This window comes from Homo sapiens, chromosome 15 (assembly GCF_000001405.40).
Source record: "Homo sapiens chromosome 15, GRCh38.p14 Primary Assembly".
Taxonomy (NCBI): domain Eukaryota; kingdom Metazoa; phylum Chordata; class Mammalia; order Primates; family Hominidae; genus Homo; species Homo sapiens.
Genome location: NC_000015.10, coordinates 85445130 through 85470668, shown reverse-complemented (window position 1 = coordinate 85470668; position 25539 = coordinate 85445130). Strand labels below are relative to the sequence as shown.

Genomic DNA, 25539 nt, shown 5'->3' with positions numbered 1-25539 from the left:
ACAAAATGAAAGGCAAGGAGGGATAAGAAAAGCTATTTTGGAAAGGGAAAAGCTACTTTAAAAAGACCGATCGTGAGCCTCTAAACTAGTTAAGAATTTGAAAGAACCTTGTACAAACCACGTAATCTCTCTAGGTGTCAGATTATTCCTCTATAAAACAAACTATAATGTTTTAATGCTACTGTTTTAAACATGTTTGTTTTATAAAGCAGTATGTCTGAGTTGAAAGTGAATTACCTTTATTAGCATCGAAACAGAATCAGGCACAACTCTTATAAACTGGCGTTTTAAAAAGGCACTGGCAGTTCTTCCTCCTCTACTATGGACTCTTGGGAATGCAGATTCTGTTTTGTTTTGGTTTGGTTTGGTTTGGTTTTTTGAGACAGAGTTTCGCTCTTGTCACCCAGGCTGGAGTGCAATGGCGAGGTCTCGGCTCACTACAACCTCCGCCTTCTGGGTTCAAGTGATTCTTGTGCCTCAGCCTCCCGAGTAGCTGGGATTACAGGTGCCCACCACAATGCCCGGCTAATTTTTTGTATTTTTTGTAGAGACAGGGTTTCACCGTGTTGGCCAGGCTGGTCTCGAACTCCTGACCTCAGGTGATCCACCCACTTTGGCCTCCCAAAGTGCTGGGATTACCGGCGTGAGCCATCACAACCAGCTGATTCAGTTTTCTTTAGTACTGCCCTATATGTTACTTGGAAGAGAGATTATTGAAGGCTGCCTTTCCCATGTAGCGAGAGGTTGAGAAAAAGTACCATTATTTCAGAACACTCATGAACTTTTGTCTTTAAATACTACAATTCTCTGCTAAAAATGCCATTCACATTATCACAAGTTCTGTATCGACATGGCATGTAGATTGTAAAACTGGAGTTGACAGTTTTCATGTGCTTTTAGTTGACTAATCTAGTTCTTTGCCACCTAAAATAAATGCATTAGTATTTTAAGATTCTCTGTTCAGGGGTCTAATGTGTTCTGGCCAAAGTCTATGTGCACACTTATTAACAGATGAGTTAGTTATTTAATGCATGCTGCTTAACAGTCACAGTATCCTTGCACTGGAGGAAAACAGGTCAAATAATAAATCTGTATCTTGCAGCTGGTGGGTCCACCAGAAATGGCCTGCAAATGATGACTCCAGATGAGCAGCTATTCCAGAAGTAAACTTAGGGATCAATGCTAAACTTTATACCTAAAACAGCACCTGTCTTTACCAGATTAATCCATTTGTCACAATCTGGAACTACCTGGAAAGAGGTAATCCTGCTGACAGGAACACCCAATAGTAATATCCACTGTACATAGCAACTACAGCCCTAACCTCAGGTCTATCTATTCTAGAAGGCACTATTATATGCAGTTCCTTATTAATAGAGGCACTTTCTGGTTGCAATAGGACATATATCCGCACATGACATCTCTCATTTATCCTCTTAAACATTTACACACCTGGCCTGGTGCGGTGGCTCACGCCTGTAATCCCAGCACTTTGGGAGGCCAAGGCGGGTGGATCACCTGAGGTCAGGAGTTCAAGACCAGCCTGGCTGACATGGTGAAATTCCATCTCTACTAATAATACAAAAATTAGCTGGGCGTGGTGGTGCACGCCTGTAGTCCAAGCTACTGGGGAGGCCGAGGCAGGAGAATTGCTTGAACCCAGGAGGCAGAGGCTGCAGTGAGCTGAGATCACGCCATTGCACTCCAGCCTGGGTGACAAGAGCAAAAGTCTGATTAAAAAAAAAAAAAAATTTACACACCTAATAAGGGCCAGATCAACTGGTAGTCACAGCCCTCAAGGAGCTCTCAATCTGTTAGGAGAGACCTGTATGTAAACTCCTAATTGCAAGGCAATGAAAATATTCTACAAGTATTTGTGAAGCATGAAGGGTGAAATGGGGGCAGCTTCACAGAAGTTATGCTCTCTGACCTAAAAAAATTAGTAAAGACTAAACTCATTCCCCAAATGTTAATTTAATTATATTTTAAGTCAGACTTCATACAAAATTCTACAAATCCAGTTCATATTAGAAACTACTTGTTGTGCTTTGCTTGGATAAAGAACAAAATATCTGAAAGTGATACAACAGAACTCATCTGAGAGAACCAAGACATCTCTTTAGTAGCCTGGTGTTCTTTAAAGCATCAAAGCTATATTGTTAAAATGCTAATATGCCTATTCTTCCAAGCTACAAATCACGACTGATTTTACCAAAACTTAATTTTATCTCAGTCTGTTTCCAAAGAGTTATTACCTCTCATCTGCTACTAGAGATTTTAAATAGTCCAAACTTAGAGGACAACTACTAAAACCACGAAAAGTCATAACACAGTGTGATTTTCCAATCTCAATATACCTCTAGAAGGGCTAAGACTCTGACCGTCTAAAAGGGGCATCAACCATAAGACAGTATACTCAGGCTATTTCAAAGATGTAATGCAAATTGAGGGCCAGACTAGAAAAACAGACAGGCTTCCCAATTTCAGCTTCTTGCAGCCTTAATAAGTCTTCATAGAATACCTCAAAAGTTCCTTTACCCTGAGAAATATAAGAATGCTTTTCCAACATAGTCTTATAATATTCATTCACCCAAGAAAGAGTTTAAGAACCACCTACTCACACAACATTTTGAAGTTTTGTTGTTCTTTCACATTATTGAGACAAAAATACAAAGAAATTAAAATGTGCAAATTTGAGTACTTGAACATATCAGAAATCAGGCATCAAAAATGTCCTCCTCAACTCTGCCTCCGTCAACACTTGAGTCAGTAAGCTGGATGAGGACAGAGAGCACACCCTGACCAAACTTGCTGGATCTAATGGGCAACAGGTTGGATAACAGAGCCGAAAAGATTGCAGGCCGAAATATCAACCCCTGAAATGTCCCATTATTATTTTAGTTATTCACTCATTCGCCAAAATTCAGTAAGCAGTTATTACTAGGCATATTGTGTTCGGTACTGCAGATAGAACAGTAAAAATACAGTCTTTTCCTTCAAAGTAGATATGTTCCAAGAGAAACAGATATGAAAACAAGGAAGACACAAGGGAGTGGCCAATTCTACCTAGGAAAGAAAGGATGGTCAGGAAGGCTGCAGAGAGGTAATCTGATCTCAATCTCAGAAGTTGAAAGAATGAAAAAAGCCTGACAATACATTAGGGATGACAGAGAAGTCATTCTAGATGGATAAAACTGTGTGTATGTTCACAGAGACACAAATAACTCATGGCTCTTTAAAGGAACAATTAATGGTGGCCCAGTAGGAACAGATCACAAGGTAATATGAGGATGCTGTGAAGCGGAAAGGTGGGAAGGAGGGCTCGCAAAGTAGGCAAGTTCAAAATCACAATCACTCAAACATTTATTGAGTACCTACCATGTACCAAGTACTGAATATACATATATGCAAGGTCTATATTTAGAATCAACTACATCAAATAAAGGTAGAAAAGCACAGAAGCACTTGTAAAATATACTATAGTGTTCACAAATGAATAATCAACAGTATAAAATGGGTGCCAAGATTGTTGGTGTGCACTAATACACGGATGATTGAGTTACATACGTGTGTGTGTGTGTGTGTGTGTGTGTAGTTAATACAATAATAGATGTAGTATCCAATGCAGAGAAGGTAATGAGTGATTCCAAATTACTATTTACTTAACAAACCTAGGATATAATGGTCCATGCTGGGAACCCACCAAGACAGACACAGATAAAATTTTTAAAAGGTTGGGAACAAAGTGAAGGGATGGTAAACAAAATAAAAATCATGTTGTAAAAATAGCAGTGGACAAAAATTAAAGAAGATTAACCAGGAAAAAGATCAAAGGATCTTTAAGTTTCTCTTAATTCCAAGATTCCAAAGCTTAACAACTGAGCAAAAATTTAAAAGCTTATTCTGGTGTTTCAAAGGTTTTATTCAAGTCATCACTGTCACCAATAAAAAGTACTGTGTGCCCATTATGATGAATAAGATGCAGTGCTAGACAGTACAAATGGGAAGAGGGATACAAAACTGAATCTGCCAAAGGATTCAAAAATGACTAAGATCCTTCCCTATTTAATAAATGGTGCTGGGAAAACTGGCTAGCCATATGTAGAAAGCTGAAACTGGATCCCTTCCTTACACCTTATACGAAAATTAATTCAAGATGGATTAAAGACTTACATGTTAGACCTAAAACCATAAAAACCCTAGAAGAAAACCTAGGCATTACCATTCAGGACATAGGCATGGGCAAGGACTTCATGTCCAAAACACCAAAAGCAATGGCAACAAAAGCCAAAATTGACAAATGGGATCTAATTAAACTAAAGAGCTTCTGTACAGCAAAAGAAACTACCATCAGAGTGAACAGGCAACCTACAAAATGGGAGAAAATTTTCACAACCTAGTCATCTGACAAAGGGCTAATATCCAGAATCTACAATGAACTCAAACAAATTTACAAGAAAAAAACAAACAACCCCATCAAAAAGTGGGCAAAGGACATGAACAGACACTTCTCAAAAGAAGACATTTTTGCAGCCAAAAAACACATGAAAAAATGCTCACCATCACTGGCCATCAGAGAAATGCAAATCAGAACCACAATGAGATACCATCTCACACCAGTTAGAAAGGCAACCATTAAAAAGTCAGGAAACAACAGGTGCTGGAGAGGATGTGGAGAAATAGGAACACTTTTACACTGTTGGTGGGACTGTAAACTAGTTCAACCATTGTGGAAGTCAGTGTGGCGATTCCTCAGGGATCTAGAACTAGAAATACCATTTGACCCAGCCATCCCATTACTGGGTATATACCCAAAGGACTATAAATCATGCTGCTATAAAGACACATGCACACGTATGTTTATTGCGGCACTATTCACAATAGCAAAGACTTGGAACCAACCGAAATGTCCAACAATGATAGACTGGATTAAGAAAATGTGGCACATATACACCATAGAATACTATGCGGCCATAAAAAATGATAAGTTCATGTCCTTTGTAGGGACATGGATGAAATTGGAAATCATCATTCTCAGTAAACTATCACAAGGACAAAAAAACCAAACACCGCATGTTCTCACTCATAGGTGGGAACTGAACAATGAGAACACATGGACACAGGAAGGGGAACATCACACTCTGGTGACTGTTGTGGGGTGGGGGGAGGGGGGAGGGATAGCATTAGGAGATATACCTAATGCTAAATGACGAGTTAATGGGTGCGGCACACCAGCATGGCACATGTATACATATGTAACTAACCTGCACATTGTGCACATGTACCCTAAAACTTAAAGTATAATAATAATAAAATTTTTTTTAAAAATGACTAAGATCCAAATATTTGCCTTTAAAAGATCTCTAGCCTACTAAAGAACAGATATATACAGCAAGGTTAAAAAGTAATTAATGCCTGGCCGGGCGTGGTGGCTCACGCCTGTAATCCCAGCACTTTGGGAGGCTGAGGCAGGCGGATCACAAGGTCAGGAGATCGAGACCATCCTGGCTAACACATGAAACCCCGTCTCTACTAAAAAAAAATACAAAAAAAAAAAAAAATTAGCCAGGCGTGGTGGTGGGCGCCTGTAGTCCCAGCTACTCAGGAGGCTGAGGCAGGAGTATGGCATGAACCCAGGAGGCGGAGCTTGCAGTGAGCCGAGATCGTGCCACTGCACTCCAGCCTGGGCGACAGAGCAAGGCTCCATCTCAAAAAAATAAAAAAAGTAATTAATGCCTAAAGATCAATAAAGGTAATTACAAGCAGGTTTAGGAGAAAACTACAGTTTAGTCTCTGGTTTCATCATTAACCTATCCTTAGAAATTAAAGAACTAGTAAAAGAAGAAAAAGGGACGGGGTAAGCAATTGAAAATTCTAAACCGACATAACCTTATTGTTAGAGAGATGTTGATACAAATTTGTTAATAGTCCTGACTCTGGTATCAGACTGCCTGAGGTTAAATTCTAGTTACACTGCTTCCGAGTTATATAAGCTTGAGCAGCTCAATTTAACTCTGAGCCTCAGACTTCTCTTTGGTAAAGACAGATGAACAAGAACCTACCAGTTCTAACCTCCCTCTTTGAAATTAATTCCTTAAAACAGAATAATTATACAAAAACTAGAGAGTTAGAAATGACCTAGGATAACTGGCTATGATAAAACCAAAATGAAATCAAAGGAATAAATATGAATGTGGAAGGCTTATCATACAGATTAAGTTTCAAAACTCAGGAATAGATATTATCCATATTCTACAAGAAAATGGACAATAGGGCTCAAAGAACTTGTTTAAGGACACTGCTCAAAAGTTATAAACTCTGGAGTCAACCTAAATCCAAAGCTCATTTTTTTAAATTCTAGACTGTATTACCTTCCAAAATCTGTAACTGGACTTCTAACAACTATTTTTAACACATACTAGAGCACACACAAGGATGGGCACAGGCACAACAGGGACAGGGAAGGGAGATATTTCAGTATTTATGAAGAGGAAAGTCGCCAGTCAGATAAAACAGAAAAGAGGAAGGCATGCCAGACTTTAACCCTTTGGTTGTTGGATCATAGACGCCGTGTGGGAAAGGGAAGAGTGATCATCGGGGTGGTTCAAGAGCAACTAGGACAAAAAGAAGTAGGAACAGGGCCTCGGGAGCAGTAATTCAAAACTGTAACAATCATTATGGCTTCCGCAGTACATACTACCTGGCTGTTGAGCATACAAGTATGCATTTCTAAAAAGGTTATGGTTAAAATCACAGGAATCTGGCTTCCAAATTTCAATCAAGGCACATTGGCAAGGACTCATTACCAACTGACTCCTAGCACTGCCACCAGCAACATCACCCAGGGGGAAAAAAAAAAAAAGTAAAGACCCAACAAAAGCCTCCCCAGTAGTCGCTTTATGTTGCAGCTGACTCAGATATCAATAGAACTCACTGCCTTTGATGTAGCCAGTCTAGCTCAAATGCTTCAGTCTCCTTTTTGCCCTTTCTCAGAAACAAGAAGAGGGTAGCAGGAAAGGAAAGCAAAGAAAAAGGGCAGAGGGAAAAGCAGCACACACAAAAAGATCCAGTGTTCACTACAGATCTCCGAAAGAAACCAGCCCTGGCATGTTTCAAAAAACCACCATCCATATATTCTACCATTTTGTGCAATTTAGTCCTGGCTGCAATTTAATCTAGTGATCTCATAACAGTGTGGATCTGTAAGACCCAGAAAGAAACACTACAGCAACTGAAATCAGTCAGGCTTGATAAATCAGATCATTGGGGAGAAGAAAGTCAAGCCTAAATTATTCTTAGGCTCAATGTGAAAGAAGCATCCTTTTAATTTGTCAAACGGCAACGATCTCTACATAATTCCTACATTAAATTTATAAAATGTTCATCCCTTGTTTGTTCAAATATTTTTTTCTTTCCCATGCTCCCTTCTTTTTAGAACTCCAATTACATGCATATTATAGACCTTTTAAAGACTGTCCCACATTTTCCAGGTTCTGTTCATTTTGTTTCAATCTCCTTTTCTCTCTGTTCTTCAAATTCAGTAATTCTTACTGAACTACAGTGCGATGATTTTTTTCTGTCATCTCTGTTTTGCTATTAAACTTATCCTGTAAAATTTTTATTTCTTTTTTTTTTTTTTTTTTTTGAGACGGAGTCTCGCTCTGTCGCCCAGGCTGGAGTGCAGTGGCGGGATCTCGGCTCACTGCAAGCTCCGCCTCCCGGGTTCACGCCATTCTCCTGCCTCAGCCTCCCAAGTAGCTGGGACTACAGGTGCCCGCCACTACGCCCGGCTAATTTTTTGTATTTTTAGTAGAGACGGGGTTTCATCATTTTAGCCGGGATGGTCTCGATCTCCTGACCTCGTGATCCGCCCGCCTCGGCCTCCCAAAGTGCTGGGATTACAGGCGTGAGCCACCACGCCCGGCCAAAATTTTTATTTCAAATAAATTTTTTTACAGTTTCTATTTCTCTGCCAGATTTCATAGCTTTGATTCTAAGTAGATTTTCCTGTGTGTAAATGAGTATAGTAATAACAGCTGCTTTAAAATCCTTATCAGCTAAGTTTAACATGTAGGTCATCTTGGGATCCAATCTCCATTAATTAGTTGGTCTCTTGAGAATGGGTCACACTTTCCGGTTTCTTCAAATTTTGAGTAACTTTAGATGTATCCTGGGCATTGTGGCAACTCTGGATTTTTCTATTCCTCCAAAGAATCCTGACTTTTTGTTTTGTTTTACCAGGTAGCTAAACTCAGATGGCAAACTTCTGTCTCTTGATGGCAGCACCAATCTCTATTTAGTTTTAAGCATTAGTGTGGATGCCCCATTCTGATGGTATGGGGCATGGTTCAGTGATTTGCATAGAATTTCTATGCAGAATTAGGGATGTCCCCTGGCAGGGCACTCTCTTTCTTCATGTTCCAATGACTGTGATTGATGGGACAAGTCATAACCACTGAAGGCTTCCTATGGACTTCCAGCTGTCACATGAGGCCTGCTATCAGGTGAGAAGCCATGAAAAACAAGAAACTCATCCAGTGACTGCTGGTCTTCCACATACCAACTGCCCTCCAGAAACCACTGTTGTTGGTTACTCTCTAGTGTCTTCATGTAGTTGTTTTTTTGTACTTTATCCAGGTTTATAGTTGGCAAATTAAGGCAGGATAAGTGAATCTGGTATTCATATAAGATTTACACTGGAATGCAAGTTTAACAAATAGACGAAATCAGTAATTTTATTTCATTTAATAAAATTACCAAAGTTAAAATTCTTGTTCAGATTTCTCTATGGGAAAGGAAGTACATGCCTGTAAAGACACACTGAGAAAACATAAACTCCCAACATCTTAGCTTTACTACAAAAACTTCTATCCAAAAGGGACTTAGATACAATGTCACTCTACTTTAAACTGTCATGTGCAAATGACATATTTGAAGCAACAAACTATCAACAGGAAAAGAACCACCATGGCTAAAGAAAATAGGAGCAGAAAGAAAAAAAGTTAACAAGAAGGAAAGAGACTTCCCTGCACCCCTCCCCCAACAACAACAACAAAAAAAAACACACCATTTAAAAAGTGAAAACAGTAACCCAAAAAATAAATAGGGGGATTTGGTATGTAGCAAGGATTGCTGAACACATTATCAGGATACAAATAACACTATATTAGTTAATTCACACATTCAAACTTTTCAGGGTTAACACTGTGTTAGCACTGTGCAAAGTTCTGAGGATAGAGATGAAATTATAACGGGCCGGGCGCAGTGGCTCACACCTGTAATCCCAGCACTCTGGGAGGCCGAGGCGGGCAGATCACCTGAAGTCAGGAGTTTGAGACCAGCCTGGCCAACATGGCAAAACCCCGTCTCTACTAAAAATACAAAAATTAGCCAGTCATGGTAGCAGGCACTTGTAATCCCAGCTACTTGGGAGGCTGAGGCAGGAGAATTGCTTGAACCCTGCAGGCAGAGGTTGCAGTGAGCCAAGATCATGCCACTGCACTCCAGCCTGGGCGACAGAGAGAGGCTCTGTCTCAAATAAAATAAAATAAAATAAAATTATACAGTCCTTGTCCTTAAAGAGCTTAATATCTAGTGAAAAATAAGAAATTAGCTATATAACTTGATAAGACAGAGAAGATGCAATGACAGTATATTCATTTTCTATTGATGTCATAAACTACCACAAACTTAGTAACTTAAAATAACAAAAAAAAAAACTCTGTTCCCCCATTCTGTAGGTTAGAAATCTGAGATCGATCTCACAGGGCTAAAAATCAAGGTGCCATCTGAGCTACATTCCTTTCAGGAGGCTCTATGGGAAAATCTTTCTCCCTGACCTTTATTGCAGCTTCTAGTGGGCACTTGCATCTCTTGGCTGCATGCAGCCCCTTTCTCCATCTTCAGAGCCAGCAAAGTCAAATTTATCTGACCTTTCTTCAATTGTCATCTCTCTCTCTGCCCACAGGCAAGAAAGGTTCTCTGCTTTTAAAGATTCCTATGATTAGACTGGCCCATCTGGGTAATCCAAGATGATCTCCACATCTCAAGGCCTTTCATCTTAATTATATCTTCAGAGAGAACCTTGTGCCATATAAGGTAAAATGTTCATAGGTTCCAAGGATAAGGACATGGACAACTTTGTGGGGGCCATTATCCTGTCTACCACAGAAAGTATCATAAATGGCTCAATAAACATGGAGCAAGGAAGGTATTTCTGTCCAGGCTGGGGGTGACAGGGTTCATGAATAATGTCACACCAGTGAACTTCCACTGTATCTTCTAAGAACGCATTACAATGATGGGTAAAATGCAGGGCGAGCTGTATCGGGGGCTGTGTACTTTCCAGGGAGAATAAACAGCCTGTACAAATGCATATGCACATAAAATTGCACACAATAGTCAGAAAACTGCTAGAAGTTTGATAGCAAAAGCTTGGTGAGTGTGTGTGTGATAGGAGCAGGAGAAAACGCCAGAAAGATAAAAAGAAACAATTATAGACTAATATGGAGTTAAATTTGACTCCAGGTGCAATGGGAAGCCATTAAAAGTCTGTAAGCATTAAAATAGCATGACATGTATGCCCAAGAAAGCAATTTTTGCCCTTGATATGAAAACACATTTGAAAAGGTAAGTCTGTGAAAAGGAACTTGGGAGGCTACTGCAGCTGTCCTGATAAAAACTAGTGAACCTAAATATGGGCAATAGTAATAGGGATGAAGAGGAGAAAACAAATTTGAGAAATATTTGAAAGGTAGCATGGCTAGAACTTAGTGATCCAATATACTTGAGAGTGAAGACTAAGTAGGAGTCTAGAAAGATTTTCACCTTAACTAGATAGATGATGGTACTGTTAAGGAAAAGCAGGCTAGGCCAGGCACAGTGGCTCACGCCTGTAATCCCAGCACTTTGGGAGGCTGAGGCAGGCGGATCACAAGGTCAGGAGATTGAGACTATCCTGGCTAACACGGTGAAACCCCATCTCTACTAAAAATACAAAAAATTAGCTGGGCGTTGTGGCGGTCACCTGCAATCCCAGCTACTCAGGAGGCTGAGGCAGCAGAATGGTGTGAACCTGGGAGGCGGAGCTTGCAGTGAGCTGAGATTGCACCACTGCACTCCAGCCTGGGCGACAGAGCGAGACTCCATCTCAAAAAAAAAAGAAAAAGCAGGCTGGGTGTGGTGGCTCAGGCTTGTAATCCTATCACTTTGGGAGGCCAAGGCGGGCAGATCACTTGAGGTGAGGCATTCAAAACCAGCCTGGCCAACATGATGAAACCCCATCTCTACTAAAAATACAAAAAAAAAAAAAAAAAATTAGCCGGGCGTGGTGGCGGGCACCTGTAATTCCAGCTATGCCGGAGGCTGAGGCAGGATAATCTTTTGAACCCGGAAGGCAGAGGTTGCAGTGAGCCAAGATCACACCACTGCACTCCAGCCTGGGTGACAGAGTGAGACGAAGGAAAGAAAAAGTAGATGAGCAAGTAGTAATTTCAGGGGAATACAAGTTAAATTCTAGTGTTACTTTTGAGGTGTCTTTGATACAGTCAAAGGATAACAGTTTGTGACAATGAGCACCAGAAAGATGGATATAGGGATCTAAAGTTCATGCAAAGTCTTGGTTAGAGCTGTAGATTTGGGAATCATTCGCACAAAAGTGATATAGTTTATGACATGAAGGTAGTTGAAACTGTCTAGACAAGTACATGCAGAAAAGTATGACTCAATGCAACACACTAAGGAAAACAAATATTTAGAAAGAAGCCAGACAGGAACAAGAAAGGCTGGAGTGATAGAAGCCATTAAGGAGGAGACTATTCCAGCAACACAGTAAGATTGATGCTTATAATTTAATGATGGCACCAAGTTGTCACGGAAAACTTAAGCTGTTAAGTAATTTATTAAAGTATATAATGTTTTTTAAGAAACATTTATCCAAGATGCTTAAAATAAAGTTTTCAGGAGGGAAAATCTTCAGTTGTAAAAACTGCCATTCAAAATGATCACCCTAAGTTTCAACGCAGTAGAAATCTGTCTAATACGTATTAGGTATTAAAAATCAAACATTTACAAATAACTGTGTCTACAAGGATTTTATTTATACTATTAAAATCTGGAAATAATCTATATAACATTAGGAGAATGATTATTTTAATATATAAATTAGAGCTATGAGAGGAACTTAATAGCATGTACAAATGCTTAATCAATGTAAAGTGATAACTAAAATACAGATGTGTTGCACTCCATACATATATAGTAAAAAAAAAAAAAAACAAAAAACAAAAAATACAAAAAAAGAGAAAAAAAGAAAGGGGAAGACTCAAATGTTCATAGTGATTATTCCTAGAAATTACAATTATGGGTAATTTTCATTTTTCTACTTTATATTCTAAAGTTTCCATAAGTTAAGGTCTACATATTTCAGAATTTCCGTAACAAACATGTATTACTAAAAATCAGAAAAACTGGAATATCTATTTTTAAGGGATAATTAAAAGTTAGTATTTTCAACTTTTTTTTTTTTTTTTGAGATGGAGTCTCGCTCTGTCATCAGGCAGGAGTGCAGTGGCGCAATCTCGGCTCACTGCAACCTCTGCTTCCCGGGTTCAAGCAATTCTCCTGCCTCAGCCTCTAGAGTAGGTGGGATTACAGGCGGGCGCCACCACACCCAGCTAATTTTTGTATTTTTAGTAGAGACGGGGTTTCACCATGTTGGTCAGGCTGGTCTCGATTTCGTGACCTCATGATCCACCTGACTTGGCCTCCCAAAGGGCTGGGATTACAGGCATAAGCCACCACACCCGGCCTCTTTATAACTTTTTAAGACAGTGCCTCACCCCTGGAAGAGACCTACTTCTACGGAGCAAACATTCAAATCTCTCTTCGTGAAGCTCTGGCTTAGAAAGGTCAAACAGAATAGTCATTACAATTAAGCAATGTAGTCAACTCAAAATCCTTCTCCACCAAAGGCTTCAGTTGTGTAAAAGATGACAGACATAGTAAGCAAAAGAGCCTAAAGGCAAATTATTTGGTTTGTTACCATGCAACCCGAGGAAACAGCTGTGTCCAAATACAGAGTGACATACAGATCACTCCAAGGAGTCAGGGCTACAACTAGTCGCCAAGGGTGCTGAGCTAGGCGCTCTCCAATCTCCACCTCCTTCTACTATGGCTCCAATTCTGTACACTGCTGAACAGAATCAGTACAGTGCTTCCCAAAAGAAAGGTAGGAAGTGTCTCTCTTCTTAAGAAATCTCCATGGCTTCCTTCACCCTTTAAAAAAGAAAAGTGTTTAAAAGCCGAGATGGTGTTTTCCTTAAAAGAGAATGTGTCCTCTTTATTTCTGGTGGATAATTTCTTATCTTCCAAAGAAGCTGCCACAATGATATATTACGGTAGGCCCTCAATCACCAAAAAAAAGCAGCACTCACTGTGGTGTTAAACAGACCTACACTAGAATTTTAGACATGCCTCTTACTATTTTAGATGTGTTACTTTTTAAAAACTGATTTAAAAATACAAATGCAGAATATATTATTTCTATGAGGTCTGGGGCAATTCATTCAACCTTCACTTTACAGGTTCAAGTTACTGATCAGAAAAAAGGGGATCATGTCCTCTTTGTAACACTGTGGGGAAGTATACAAGAAAACGTAACTAGAATGTCTCGCTACAGTTGGTGCCTGACTCACAGTAGATAATAAACTATAGTCATTACTGTTATTGTATTGAATGGACTGAGGAATACTTCTCCAAATCCACAACCTCATGAAATTTTTAGAGAAGGTTCATGATCTCAACAAGAACGTATAGTAATAATTTTACATGAGATGAGTAGACCCATGTTGGAGAGAAAAGCTGTCAACATGAGCTATAAGGAAATAGAAAGTGGATCAAGACCATCCTGGCTAACACGGTGAAACCCCATCTCTACTAAAAATATAAAAAATTAGCCAAGCGTGGTGGCGGGCGCCTGTAGTCCCAGCTACTCGGGAGGCTGAGGCAGAAGAATGGTGTGAACCCGGGAGGCCACAGTTTGCAGTGAGCCAAGATTGCGCCACTGCACTCCAGCCCGGGCGACAGAGCAAGACTCTGTCTCAAAAAAAAAAAAAAAAACAGAAAGTGGGCTACTCTGGGAACACTGCCTTTGGGGTAGCCCTGCTCTGCAAGGAACAGTAAAAAAATAAAATTAAATTAAAAAATAAAATTTTTTAAAAAGAAGAAAACAGAAAAGTGAGAGCAGTGGGTGTCCCCATAGAGACTGCAGCAGTGCAGTCCTTATTATTTGGATTCTGATTAAGAAGAAGAAGTCAGGATTGATTTTCATTTCTAACACCTTATTAACAGTCATCCTCAATTCAAAGCAGAAAGGTCTGTTTAACTAAAAATGTTCAGTGTATATATCCAAGTGACTAAACAATTAAACACCTCTGATTTTGCTTACAAGAAGAAGAATGAATTTGCAGAAGTTTAGAGTGGAAAGCCAGAAAGGGTATGATTCTTTACTCCAAAACTGAACTGTACCTTGGAAAAATGCCATGGACTACAAAAAAGAGCTTTTCTGATTTTCTAATTATGTTTGCAGCAAGACAAATAAGGAAGATCTAAGACTTAAGGCTCAGAGTGGTGATGTGTGAAAGTATATAAAAGAGTGCTTTTTCTATTTTATGTCCTCCTTTTCAATCAATGAGAATGAACTTCAGGGTACATAACATAGAATAAATAAGTCACACTATCTGACTTAAAGGAGTTAGTCCCAGGCTAGAAAGAGATACATCCTAAGTCCCAGAAGAAGATTATTTAAGAATAAAACAGATGGAAGATTACAAAGGGATTACAGTAGTTTGCAGTAAGAAGCTAGATTCAACAATCTGTAATCTATTGAGTTTTATCTCGGTGTCAGACACAAATTGTTAAAGGGATGGACTGTGCGCCTTTGAAAGGGAAGCAATAATCTAAAAGCTCAGCATATACCTTCAAGAAGACACACCACAGTTCTTTTTTTAAAATAAATTTTATCATCCAAGGGATTGGTAACAGAGACTAAGGAAAACTAAAAACACTGTGTCTGAATTTGAGTAAAACCTATGCCCAAATCCCCTATGTTATTGCTGTGAACAAACTGAAGAAATGTGAGTTGAGACGTCATGGTGGCTATAAGTATAAAGAGTGTGACTAAAATTCCCCTCCCGCCGCTCATGCTTTTGTCTGTGCTTCTAGGTGAAATCTAGGAATTTAGAGAAGCACTGTGGGAGGGGGAGAATATGCCTCGTGTCCCACTGTTGCCATCCTCAACCCTATAATGGTTCTGTAAACAAAGCAAAATGAGTAATTCATAAATATCTACAAGAAACGAGATTTTGTACAGGCAACGCCAACTCTTCCCCACTCCCACTCTGCCTAATTCTAATTAACACATTTGCCAATGACTTAAAAAAAAAATCTAATGATCAAATGATCAAATATACAGACCATATTAGGTTCACTAAGAACATTAATACATTAAAAGGCAGACTGAAGATCCAGAAGTCCTAAAAGGCTAAAAGGATGTACCAAGGACAGACATGAGAGGCCCAATACACCAAGATGAAATTTAATATGGATACACATAAACCATGTACTTCCATCAAAACACCCAGGTCCTTCACTGAAACTCCCAAATGAACTCACAGAAGACAAGAAATCTATCTTAAAGTAGCATACACAGAAAGGAATTGTGATTTTTGGTGCCTAAAAATCTGTCAGTAAGACGACAGATCGAGAAAGGAGATAATCTGGATCAATTTCTTGCTGCCTGTTAAGAGACCAAATGATCTTCAGTGAGTAACTCAAAACAGTTACGAAATTTGGGTCAAGATAACAACTAAGGTGTGCAAAGTCTCGTTCTGGGGTGATGAAAAGATTCAAAATTGATCACAGTGACAGTTGAACAACTCTCTGGATATACTAAAATAACTGTACACTTTAAATGGGTAAGTTATATAGCATGTGAATTACATCACGATAAGATTTTTTTTTAAACAGTTTAAACGGCTAGGGAGTGGCCAACAGAGCCGACTAGAGGCAGCTAGTGTGTGTGACTCTCACAGAGAGGAACAGAAAGGGTGAGTAAATACAACACCTTCAACTGAAACATCCAGGTACTCTCATTGGGATTAATCAAGGAAACAACTTGACCCACAGAGAACAGAGAAAAGCAAGGCAGGAAAACAGCGCACCTGGGAGCAACACGGAGCCAGGGGTTCCTCCCCGACTCAGGGAAGCAGTGAGTGAATGAGCGATCCCCAGAAACTATGCTTCTCCCACAGACCTTTGCAAACTTCAGGTTAAGAGATCGCCTTGTGAACCCACTCCACCAGGGCCTGCAGTCTTCAGTCTGACCAACAGAGCCATGTGGAGTCTTGGCATGCGTGAAGACCCTGGAGCCTTAGATACTTGGGCTTTCTGGCAAAAGTAGCTGTACCTCCAGCAGGGTGGGAGGTTAGACTCCTGTAAATACCCCTAGGAAAGAGGCTGAATCCAGGGGACTGACCAGCAAGAGCCCACAGGACCCACTTCCATGGCAGCCCACAAGATAAGACCCACTGGCTTGGAATTCTAGCCAGCTGCCAGTAGTGGCACTGCACCTCCCTAAGAAGGAGCTCCTAGGGGAAGAGGTGGGCCACCATCTTTGCCATTCCAGCCTTTGTGCTTTGGAGAATCTGTGCTGACCCAGAACAGAAGGGATGCCCCAGCACAGCACAGCACAGCTGCTCTACCCAAACGTGGCCAGGCTGTTGCTTTAAGCAGGTGCCCAATCCCATTCCTCTTCACTGGGTAGGACCTCCCAACCTGGGCCTCCAGCCACCCCCACCCAAGCTCTCCAGCCAACAGAGATCTGAAGTTCCCCTGGAACAAAGCTTCCGGAGGAAGGGGTGGCTACCATCTTTGCTGTTTGGGTGACTCAGCTGTTCCAGCCTTAGAGCTTCAGAGTGTCTGAGGCAACCGAGGGCTGAAGTGGACCCCCAGCACAGCACACATGCTCTACCAAAATGTGGCCAGACTGCTTTTTTAAGCAGTCCTGATCCTGCTCCTCCTCACTGGGGGACCTCCCAACTGGAGTCTCCAGCCACTTCCTATAGGTGCCTTTGGACCAGCAACAGGTCATTCCTCCCTGGGACAAAGTTCCCAGAGGGAAGGACAGGCAGCCATCTTTGCTGTTTCACAGTCTTCACTGGTAACACCTCCAGATTCTGGAAAATCTGAGGTGACCAGGGACTGCTGCAGGCCTCAAGTATACCACAGCAGCCCTAGGGAAAAGTGGCCCCACTGTTACGTGGGTGGCTGATCCCATATCTCCTCACAGGGCAGGTCCTCCAAGCCTGGGGCTCCAGCCACCCCCAACCAGAGCTACTCAGCTAGCACCAACTCAGCAACTCCCTGGACAGAGCCTCTAGTGGCAACTAAAAGCCTCTCGGCCACTGACTCTACTGTGGAACTGCCCTTGCCACCCTCGGTCTGATGAAGGAGCAAAGACATTAAGTGCTTTATCCACACTCCAACAAGCTGCAGTAAACTCAAGGAGAGGAGGCCAGTCCATCTCCCACAGGTCCCACACACCTCTGACGGCTCATCACCAGACAGGGAACCAACCCCTGGCTTGGGCCCGCAGCACTGACCCTCCATCCTGGGCTGACTGCACTAAGCAACTGCTCACCTGCATCTCTCTGAGGTGGAGCCCCCAGGAATCAAGCAAACAACCCTTGGCCAAAACCACTAATAAGATCTCTCCCTCTGCAGCCTGTAAGCTGGGGGAGGAACATAAATACTGAGATCTCCCCAGAGCTGTACTGGATGTCATGAACTACAGCCAGCACTCAAGGGGCAGAGAAACCCATACTTTCAGGACACTGAGAGGGAACATGGCTACAACTGTGAGGAAACATAGGGGAGCCACACAACTGAACAACTGTTTAGTCCACCAGCTGTCCAATAAGCCTAAGAGCCACCTGCTGGATCATACCCCAAAGCTTTAACACCAAAGATACCTGACATACCCTCCCCTCTGAAACCAGAAACAAGAAGTCAGCTTCAAATAAACACCCTACACAAAACCTCAACTCAGTGAAAACATGCAGTAAAGAAGTCTATTGACCATACTCAATCTACACTGCAGTTAAAGTAATACCCACACACACTGACGAGAAATAACCAACACAAGAACTCTAGTAACTCAAATGGCCAGAGTGTCATATGTCCTTCAAATGACTGTACCAGTTCTCCAACAACAGTTCTTAACCAGGCCAAATGGGCTGCAATGACAGAAATATAATTCTGAATATGGATAGGAACAAAGATCATTGAGATTCGGGATGATGACAAAACCCAACCCAAGGAAAATAAGAATCATAATAAAGTGATACAGGAGCTGAAGGATGAAATAACCAGTATTTAAAAAAAAAAAAAAACCCTAAGGGATCTGACAGAGCTGAATATCACACTACAAGAATTTCACAATACAATCACAAGAATTAACAGCAGAATAAACCAAAGCTAAGGAAAGAATTTCAGAACTTGAAGACTTGTTTTCTGAAATAAGACAGACGGAAATAAAGACAAAAGAATAAAAAGGAATGAACAAAACCTCCGAGAAATTATGTAAAGAGGACAAAACTACAAATCACTGGCATCCCTCAAAGGCAAGGGGAGAACGCCAACAACTTAGAAAATATGTTTCAGGGTATCATCCACAAAAACTTTCCCAACTTTGCTAGAGAGGCCAACAGTCAAATCCAGAAAATACAAAGAACTCCTGCAATATTCTACACATGAAGATTATCCTCAAGACACATAATTGTCAGATTTTCCAAGATGAAAATTAAAGAATAAATGTTAAAGGCAGTTAGGGAAAAAGAGCAGGTCACCTGCAAAGGGATCCCCATCAGGCTAACAGTGGATCTCTCAGCAGAAACCCTACAAGCCAGAAGAGACTGGGGGCCTATATTCAACATTCTTTAAAAAAATCTTCAAGAATTTCATATCCAGCCAAACTAAACTTCCGAAGCAAAAGAGAAATAAGATCCTTTTCAGGAAAGCAAATGTCGAGAGACTTCATTACCACCAGACCTGCCCTTAAAAGATATCTTGAAAGGAGCACTAAATATACAAAAGAAAGACCGCTACCAGTTAATACAAAAACACACTTAAACACAGACACCAGTATCACTGTAAATCAACCACACAAACAAGCCAACATAATAACCAGCTAACAGCACAATGACAGGATCAAATCCAGACACACCATTACTAATCTTGAATGTAAACAGGCTAAATGCCCCCACTTAAAAGGCACAAAGTGGCAAGGATAAAAAAGCAAGACCCAATGGTATGCTGTCTTCAAGAGACCCATCTCACTCATAGTGAAACTCCTAGGCTCAAAATAAAGGGATGGAGAAAAATCTACCAAGCAAATGGGAAACACAATCTACCAAGCAATGGGAAACACAAAAAAGGTTGCAATCCTAATTTCAAACAAAACAGACTCCAAACCAACAAGGATCAAAAAAGACAAGGAAGGGCATGGGATAATGGTAAAGGGTTCAATTCAACAAGAAGACCTAACTATCTTAAATATATATGCACCCAACAGAGGAGCACCCAGAGTCATAAAGCAAGTTCTTAGAGACCTACAAAGAGACATGGACTCCCCACACAATAATAGTGGGAGACTTCAACACTCCACTGACAGTATTAGACAGACTGAGCCAGAAAATAAACAAAGATATTCAGGACCTAAACTTAGCGTTGAACCAAATGGATCTGACAGACCTTTTACAGAAGTCTCCAACCAAAAGCAACAGAATATACATTCTTCTCATCACGACATGGCACATACTCTAAAATCAACCATATAATTGGACATAAAACAATCCTCACAAAAGTAAAAGAAACCAAATCATACCAAACACACACTCAGACCACAGCGCAATGAAAATAGGAGTCAACACAATGAAAATCACTCAAAACCATCCAATTACATGGAAAATAAGAACATGCTCCTGAATGACTTTTAGGTAAATAATGAAATTAAGGCAGAAATCCAGAAGTTATTTGAAAATAATGAGAACAAAGATACAACATAACAGAATCTCTGGGACACAGCTAAGGTGGTGTTAAGAGGAAAATTCATAGCACCAAATGCCCACACGAAAAAGAAAGATCTCAAATTAACAACCTAATCTCACAACTGAAAGAATTAGAGAAGAACAAATCAACCCCAAAGCTAGCAGAAGAAGAGAAATAACAAAAATCAGAGCTGAACTGAAGGAAATCAAGACATGAAAAATCATTCAAAAGATCGCTAAACTAATTAAGAAGAAAAGAGAGAAGATCCAAATAAACACAATTAGAAGTGACGCAGGGAATGTTACTACTGACTCCATAGAAATAAAAACAATCATGAGAAACTACTACAAACACCTCTACCCACACAAACTAGAAAAACTAGAAGAGATGGATAAATTCCTGGACACATACACCCCCACCCAGACTGAGCAAGGAATAAATTTATTCCCTAAACAGACCAATAATGAGCTCCAAAATTGAATCAGTAATAAAAGCATACCAACCAAAAAAGGCCTAGGACCTGATGGATTCACAGCCTAATTCTACTAGATGTACAAAGAAGAGCTGGTACCATTCTTACAGAAACTATTACAAAAAATTGAGGAGGAAGGACTTCTCCCAACTCACTCTATGAGGCCAGCATCATCTTGATACCAAAACCTAGCAGAAATACTACAAAAAAAGAGAAAACTTCAGGCCAATATCCTTGATGAATATCAGTGCAAAAATCCTCAATAAAATACTTGCAAAACAAATCCAACAGCACATCAAAAAGCTAATCCACCATGATCAAGTAAGCTTCATCCCCAGTTGCAAGTTGGTTCAACATACAAAAATCAATCAATGTGATTCATCACATAAACAGACTAATAAAAACCACATGATTATCTCAATAGATACAGAAAAGGCTTTTGATAAAACTCAACATCGCTTTAGGTTAAAAACTCTCAATAAACTAGGTATTGAAGGAACATACCTCAAAATAGTAAGAGCCACCTATGACAAATCCACAGCCAACATCATACTGAATGGGCAAAAGCATTCCCCCTTGAAAACCGGTACAAGACAAAGACGCCCTCTCTCACCACTTCTATTCAACATAGTATTGGAAATCCTAGCCAGAGCAATCAGGCAAGAGAAAGAAGTAAAGGGCACCCAAGTAGGAAGAAAGGAAGTCAAACTATCTCTATTTGCAGATGACATGATTCTGTATCTACAAAACCCCATAGTCTTGGCCCAAAAGCTCCTTCAGCTGATAAACAACTTCAGCAAAGTTGCAGGATATAAAAATCAATGTACAAAAATCACTAGCATTCCTATATACCAACAGCAACCAAATCGAGAGCCAAATCAGAAAGGCAATCCCATTCACAACTGCCATAAATAAAATAAAACAACATAAAATAACATAAAATAAAATACCTAGGAATACAGCTAACCAGGGAGGTGAAAGATCTATACAAGAAGAATTATAAAATACTGCTCAAAGAAATCAGACAAGACACAAACAAATGGAAAAACATCCATGCTCATGGATAGGAAGAATCAATATCATTAAAATGGGTATACTGCCCAAAGCAATTTACAGATCCAATGTTATTTCTATTAAACTACCAACGACATTCTTCACAGAACTAGAAAAAAAAATTTTTTTAATTATATGGAACCTGAGGAAAAAAGTTTTCTTTTTTCTTTTCAGAAAAAAAAAAAAAAAGCCTGAATAGCCAAGGCAATCCTTAGCAAAAAGAACAAAGCTGGAAGAATCACGTTACTCAATTTCAAACTATACTAAAGGCTACAGTGACCAAAACAGCATGGTACTGGTACAAAACAGGCACACAAACCAATGGAACAAAATAGAGAGCCCAGAAATAAGGTCACACATCTACGACCATCTGATCTTTGACAAAGGTGACAAAAACAAGCAATAGGGAAAAGACTCCCTATTCAATAAATGGTGCTGGGATAACAGGCTAACCATATGTACAAGTTTGAAGCTGGACCCCTTCCTTACATTCTGTATAAAAATTAACTCAAGATGGATTAAAGACTTAAATGTAAAACCCAAATCTATAAAAACCCTGGAAGATAACCTAGGTGATATCATCCTGGACTTAGGAACGGGCAAAGATTTCATGACAAAGACACCAAAAGCAATCACGAAAAAAAGGAAAAATTGATAAATGGGATCTAATTAAGCTTAAGAACTTCTGCACAGCAAAACAAACTGTCAACAGAGTAGACAATCTACAGAATGGGAGAAAATATTTGCAAACTATGCATGTGACAAAGGTCTAATATCCAGCATCTACAAGGAACTTAAATTACAAAAGAAAAACAAACAACCCTATTAAAAAGTGAGCAAATGACATGAACATACACTTCTCAAAAGAAGACATACATGTAGCCAACAAGCATATGAAAAAAAAGCTCAATATCAGTGATCATTAGAGAAATGCAAATCAAAACCACAATAAGACATCAACTCACACAACTCAGAATGGCTATTATTAAAAAGTCAAAAAAACAGCAGATGCTGGCAAGGTTGCAGGGAAAAGGAACCCTTATACACTGCTGGTGAGTTGGTAAATTAGTTCAACCATTGTGGAAAGCAGTATAGCGATTCCTCAAAGAGCTAAAAGCAGAACTACCATTCAACCCAGCAATCCCATTATTGAGTATATACCCAGAGGATTATAAATCATTCTACCATAAAGACACATGCACACAAATGCTCACTGCAGCACTGTTCACAACAGCAAAGACAAGGAATCAACATAAATGCCCATCAATGACAGACTGGATAAAGAAAATGTGGTACATATACATCTTGAAATATTACATAGCCATTAAAAAGAATGAGATCATGTCTTCTCTGGGAACATGGATGAAGCTGGAGGCTATTATCCTCAGCAAATTAACACAAGAACAGAAAATCAAATACTGCCATGTTCTCACTTGTAAGTGGAAGCTAAATGATAAGAACTTACTAACACAAAGAAGGAAACAACAGACACTGGGGTCTATTTGGGGGTGGGGGAGGAGGGAGAGGAGCAGAAAAGATAACTATTATGTACTGAACTTAATACCTGGGTGATGTAATAATATGTAAAACAAACACCCGTGACATGTGTTTATCTGTGTAGCAAACCTTAACATGTATCCCCAAACCTAAAATAAAATTTTTTTTTAAAAAAGGAGTTAAAAATCAAATCCAGGTCCATATCCTATCCATTTTGCTGAAGAACTCTTATTTTAAAATAATAATAATAACAGATTTATTTATTTATTTATTTTGAGATGGAATCTCACTCTGTCACCAGGCTGGAATGCACTGGTGCAATCTCAGCTCACTACAACCTCCACCTCCCCGGTTCAAGAGATTCTCCTGCCTCAGCCTCCCAAGTAGCTGGGATTACAGGTGCGCACCACCACGCCCAGCTAATTTTTGTATTTTTGGTAGAGATGGAGTTTCATCATGTTGGCCAGGATGGTCTCAATCTCTTGACCTTGTGATCTCCTGGCCTCGGCCTCCCAAAGTGCCGGGATTACAGGTGTGAGCCGCCACACCCGGCCTAAATTTATTATTTTAAAAAGCAAATCAGTAGCTCTGTCATTTTCTGACTACACATTCACTTTTTTAAGTTTAACCCATTTTCCCATTCCTTCCTTGGTGAAACCCAGATATTTATGCTGCCTTTAAGAGCACACCATTTATTTATATAATGTTTAACAATGTGTGATGAATTTTAAATTCAATCCTCTTCATCAGAGCCTGGACTAGAGCTTTAAGAAGGGCTGGAAAGCCTGGACAACACAGCGAGACTCTGTCTCAAAAAAAAAAAAAAAAAAGAAAAAGAAAAAGAAGGGCTGGGCAAAGCGGGGAAGACGAAAAGGCATGTTTACTTGGCCAGACCAGCTAATTCCAGATTGTCCTCGCATCCAACAAATATCTTTCCATCCCATTCTCTCAGTTTCAACTATTGCTTATAGGCAAACCACTCTCAACTTTGAGTCTCTAGCCCTAAAGTCTTTTCTAAGCTCCATAACCTAATTGCCAAGTGCCTGCTAGACATCCTAGTCCCCTTGGATGTTCTGCACTGAATCCATCTTCTACATGCTCATTCGTTGTCCTTTATCCTCATTAACGGTCTCACCTCAAGCTCTCATAAAACCATTTCCTTCTCCTTCACTGCCTACATTGCCTCCCAACAAATCCTATTTCGTTTACCTCCACACTGTCTCCTTATCCACCCCTGCTGCCCAAGTCGTTGTCCTCACTCCTGGACCTATTCCCTGCTGTTGTCTTTGCCTCTAAGCATAACTATCTTCCACGTTATCACAAGGTTCAACTGCCCCACAACTTCAATATAGTATGTGTCAATTCTCTGGTCAAATCTTTCCAAGGACTTCTTGCTTTCTTCACATTAAAGCCAAACTCCCTAGTCCCAAATCACTATCTATACCTTTATTTCCTGCTGCCATCACAACTCTAGCAATACCAAGTTGCTCACCAACCATGGCACTTCTACAACTAAATCAAAATAAATAGAAAAAAGTGTATATTTTTAAACAAAGGGGGGGATTTAGAATGTTCCCAACACAAATGTTAAATGCTTGAGGTGATGGATATCCCAATTACCCTGATTTGATCAGTACACATTGTAGATTGTATTAAATATCACATGTACCCCATAAAAATGTACAATTATGTATCCATAGAAATTAAAAATAAAATTACCTTAAGAATTAAAAATAAATAGAAGCATCAAGTACAGTGCCATTACAAGGAGAAAAATATGAATAATTTTTAGCTCTCTCTGTTTGTGCCTTAATTTTTAGCTCTGTTTGTGCCTTAATTAAATACAGACTGATTTTTTTCACAGACAGTTGGCATCTTTCTCTCCAAGTTTGTAAGTAAGTACTATAATAAAGGTAAGTCACAGTGCTATGAAAGTCCAAAGGAAGATGTAATTAAATGACTGCTCATAAGAGCACGCTGTCATATAAACTACTTCCATAATATGACAAGTGGGTAGAAAAATACAATTAAATAACATTTCAGGAAACAAAACATCCTAAATAACTAAATTTCCTGCCTAAATTATTTATGCATCAATGATTACAAAAAATCCTAAGATGTATGGGTTTTCTTTCCTGTCTCAAGAATTAGAACATATCAGTCAGTTTTCTCTGGGCTACCAGTGATACCATCAAAGCCTGTAACTCCCACTGTGAGCTCTCGAAATGCAAATTCAGAGATGAAGCCCCTTTCAGTGGTAAGGTGCCAAGTTGCTGACCATTTTCTTTGGTATTGTAGGGGCCTCAAAACAATGCCCACAAACTGTACTAACTGAATGTTCACAAGAGTTATCCAGCATCTTTTAAACACAGATAAGGACATTCATTCCAAAGAACTGTTTTGATCATAGG

General features: G+C 39.8%; 1 protein-coding gene across 2 annotated transcripts in view, besides 4 other annotated features; it reads right to left on the bottom strand.

The window, feature by feature from the left end:
- Positions 1–25539, bottom strand: part of AKAP13 (A-kinase anchoring protein 13) — a 368756-nt gene that overhangs the window by 278690 nt on the left and 64527 nt on the right. The gene's annotated exons all lie outside the window — the stretch shown is intronic.
- Positions 15844–16390: an enhancer, noted in NCBI's record as "H3K27ac-H3K4me1 hESC enhancer chr15:85997510-85998056 (GRCh37/hg19 assembly coordinates)". NCBI's record gives its function as "activates a minimal SCP1, AML or CMV promoter by ChIP-STARR-seq in primed H9 embryonic stem cells {active_cell/tissue: H9 hESC(primed)}" and the evidence as "EXISTENCE:reporter gene assay evidence [ECO:0000049][PMID:30033119]".
- Positions 16391–16938: an enhancer, noted in NCBI's record as "H3K27ac-H3K4me1 hESC enhancer chr15:85996962-85997509 (GRCh37/hg19 assembly coordinates)". NCBI's record gives its function as "activates a minimal SCP1, AML or CMV promoter by ChIP-STARR-seq in primed H9 embryonic stem cells {active_cell/tissue: H9 hESC(primed)}" and the evidence as "EXISTENCE:reporter gene assay evidence [ECO:0000049][PMID:30033119]".
- Positions 17529–17648: an enhancer, noted in NCBI's record as "active region_10014". NCBI's record gives its function as "activates an Ori minimal core promoter by ATAC-STARR-seq in GM12878 lymphoblastoid cells {active_cell/tissue: GM12878}" and the evidence as "EXISTENCE:reporter gene assay evidence [ECO:0000049][PMID:35858748]".
- Positions 17809–17878: an enhancer, noted in NCBI's record as "active region_10013". NCBI's record gives its function as "activates an Ori minimal core promoter by ATAC-STARR-seq in GM12878 lymphoblastoid cells {active_cell/tissue: GM12878}" and the evidence as "EXISTENCE:reporter gene assay evidence [ECO:0000049][PMID:35858748]".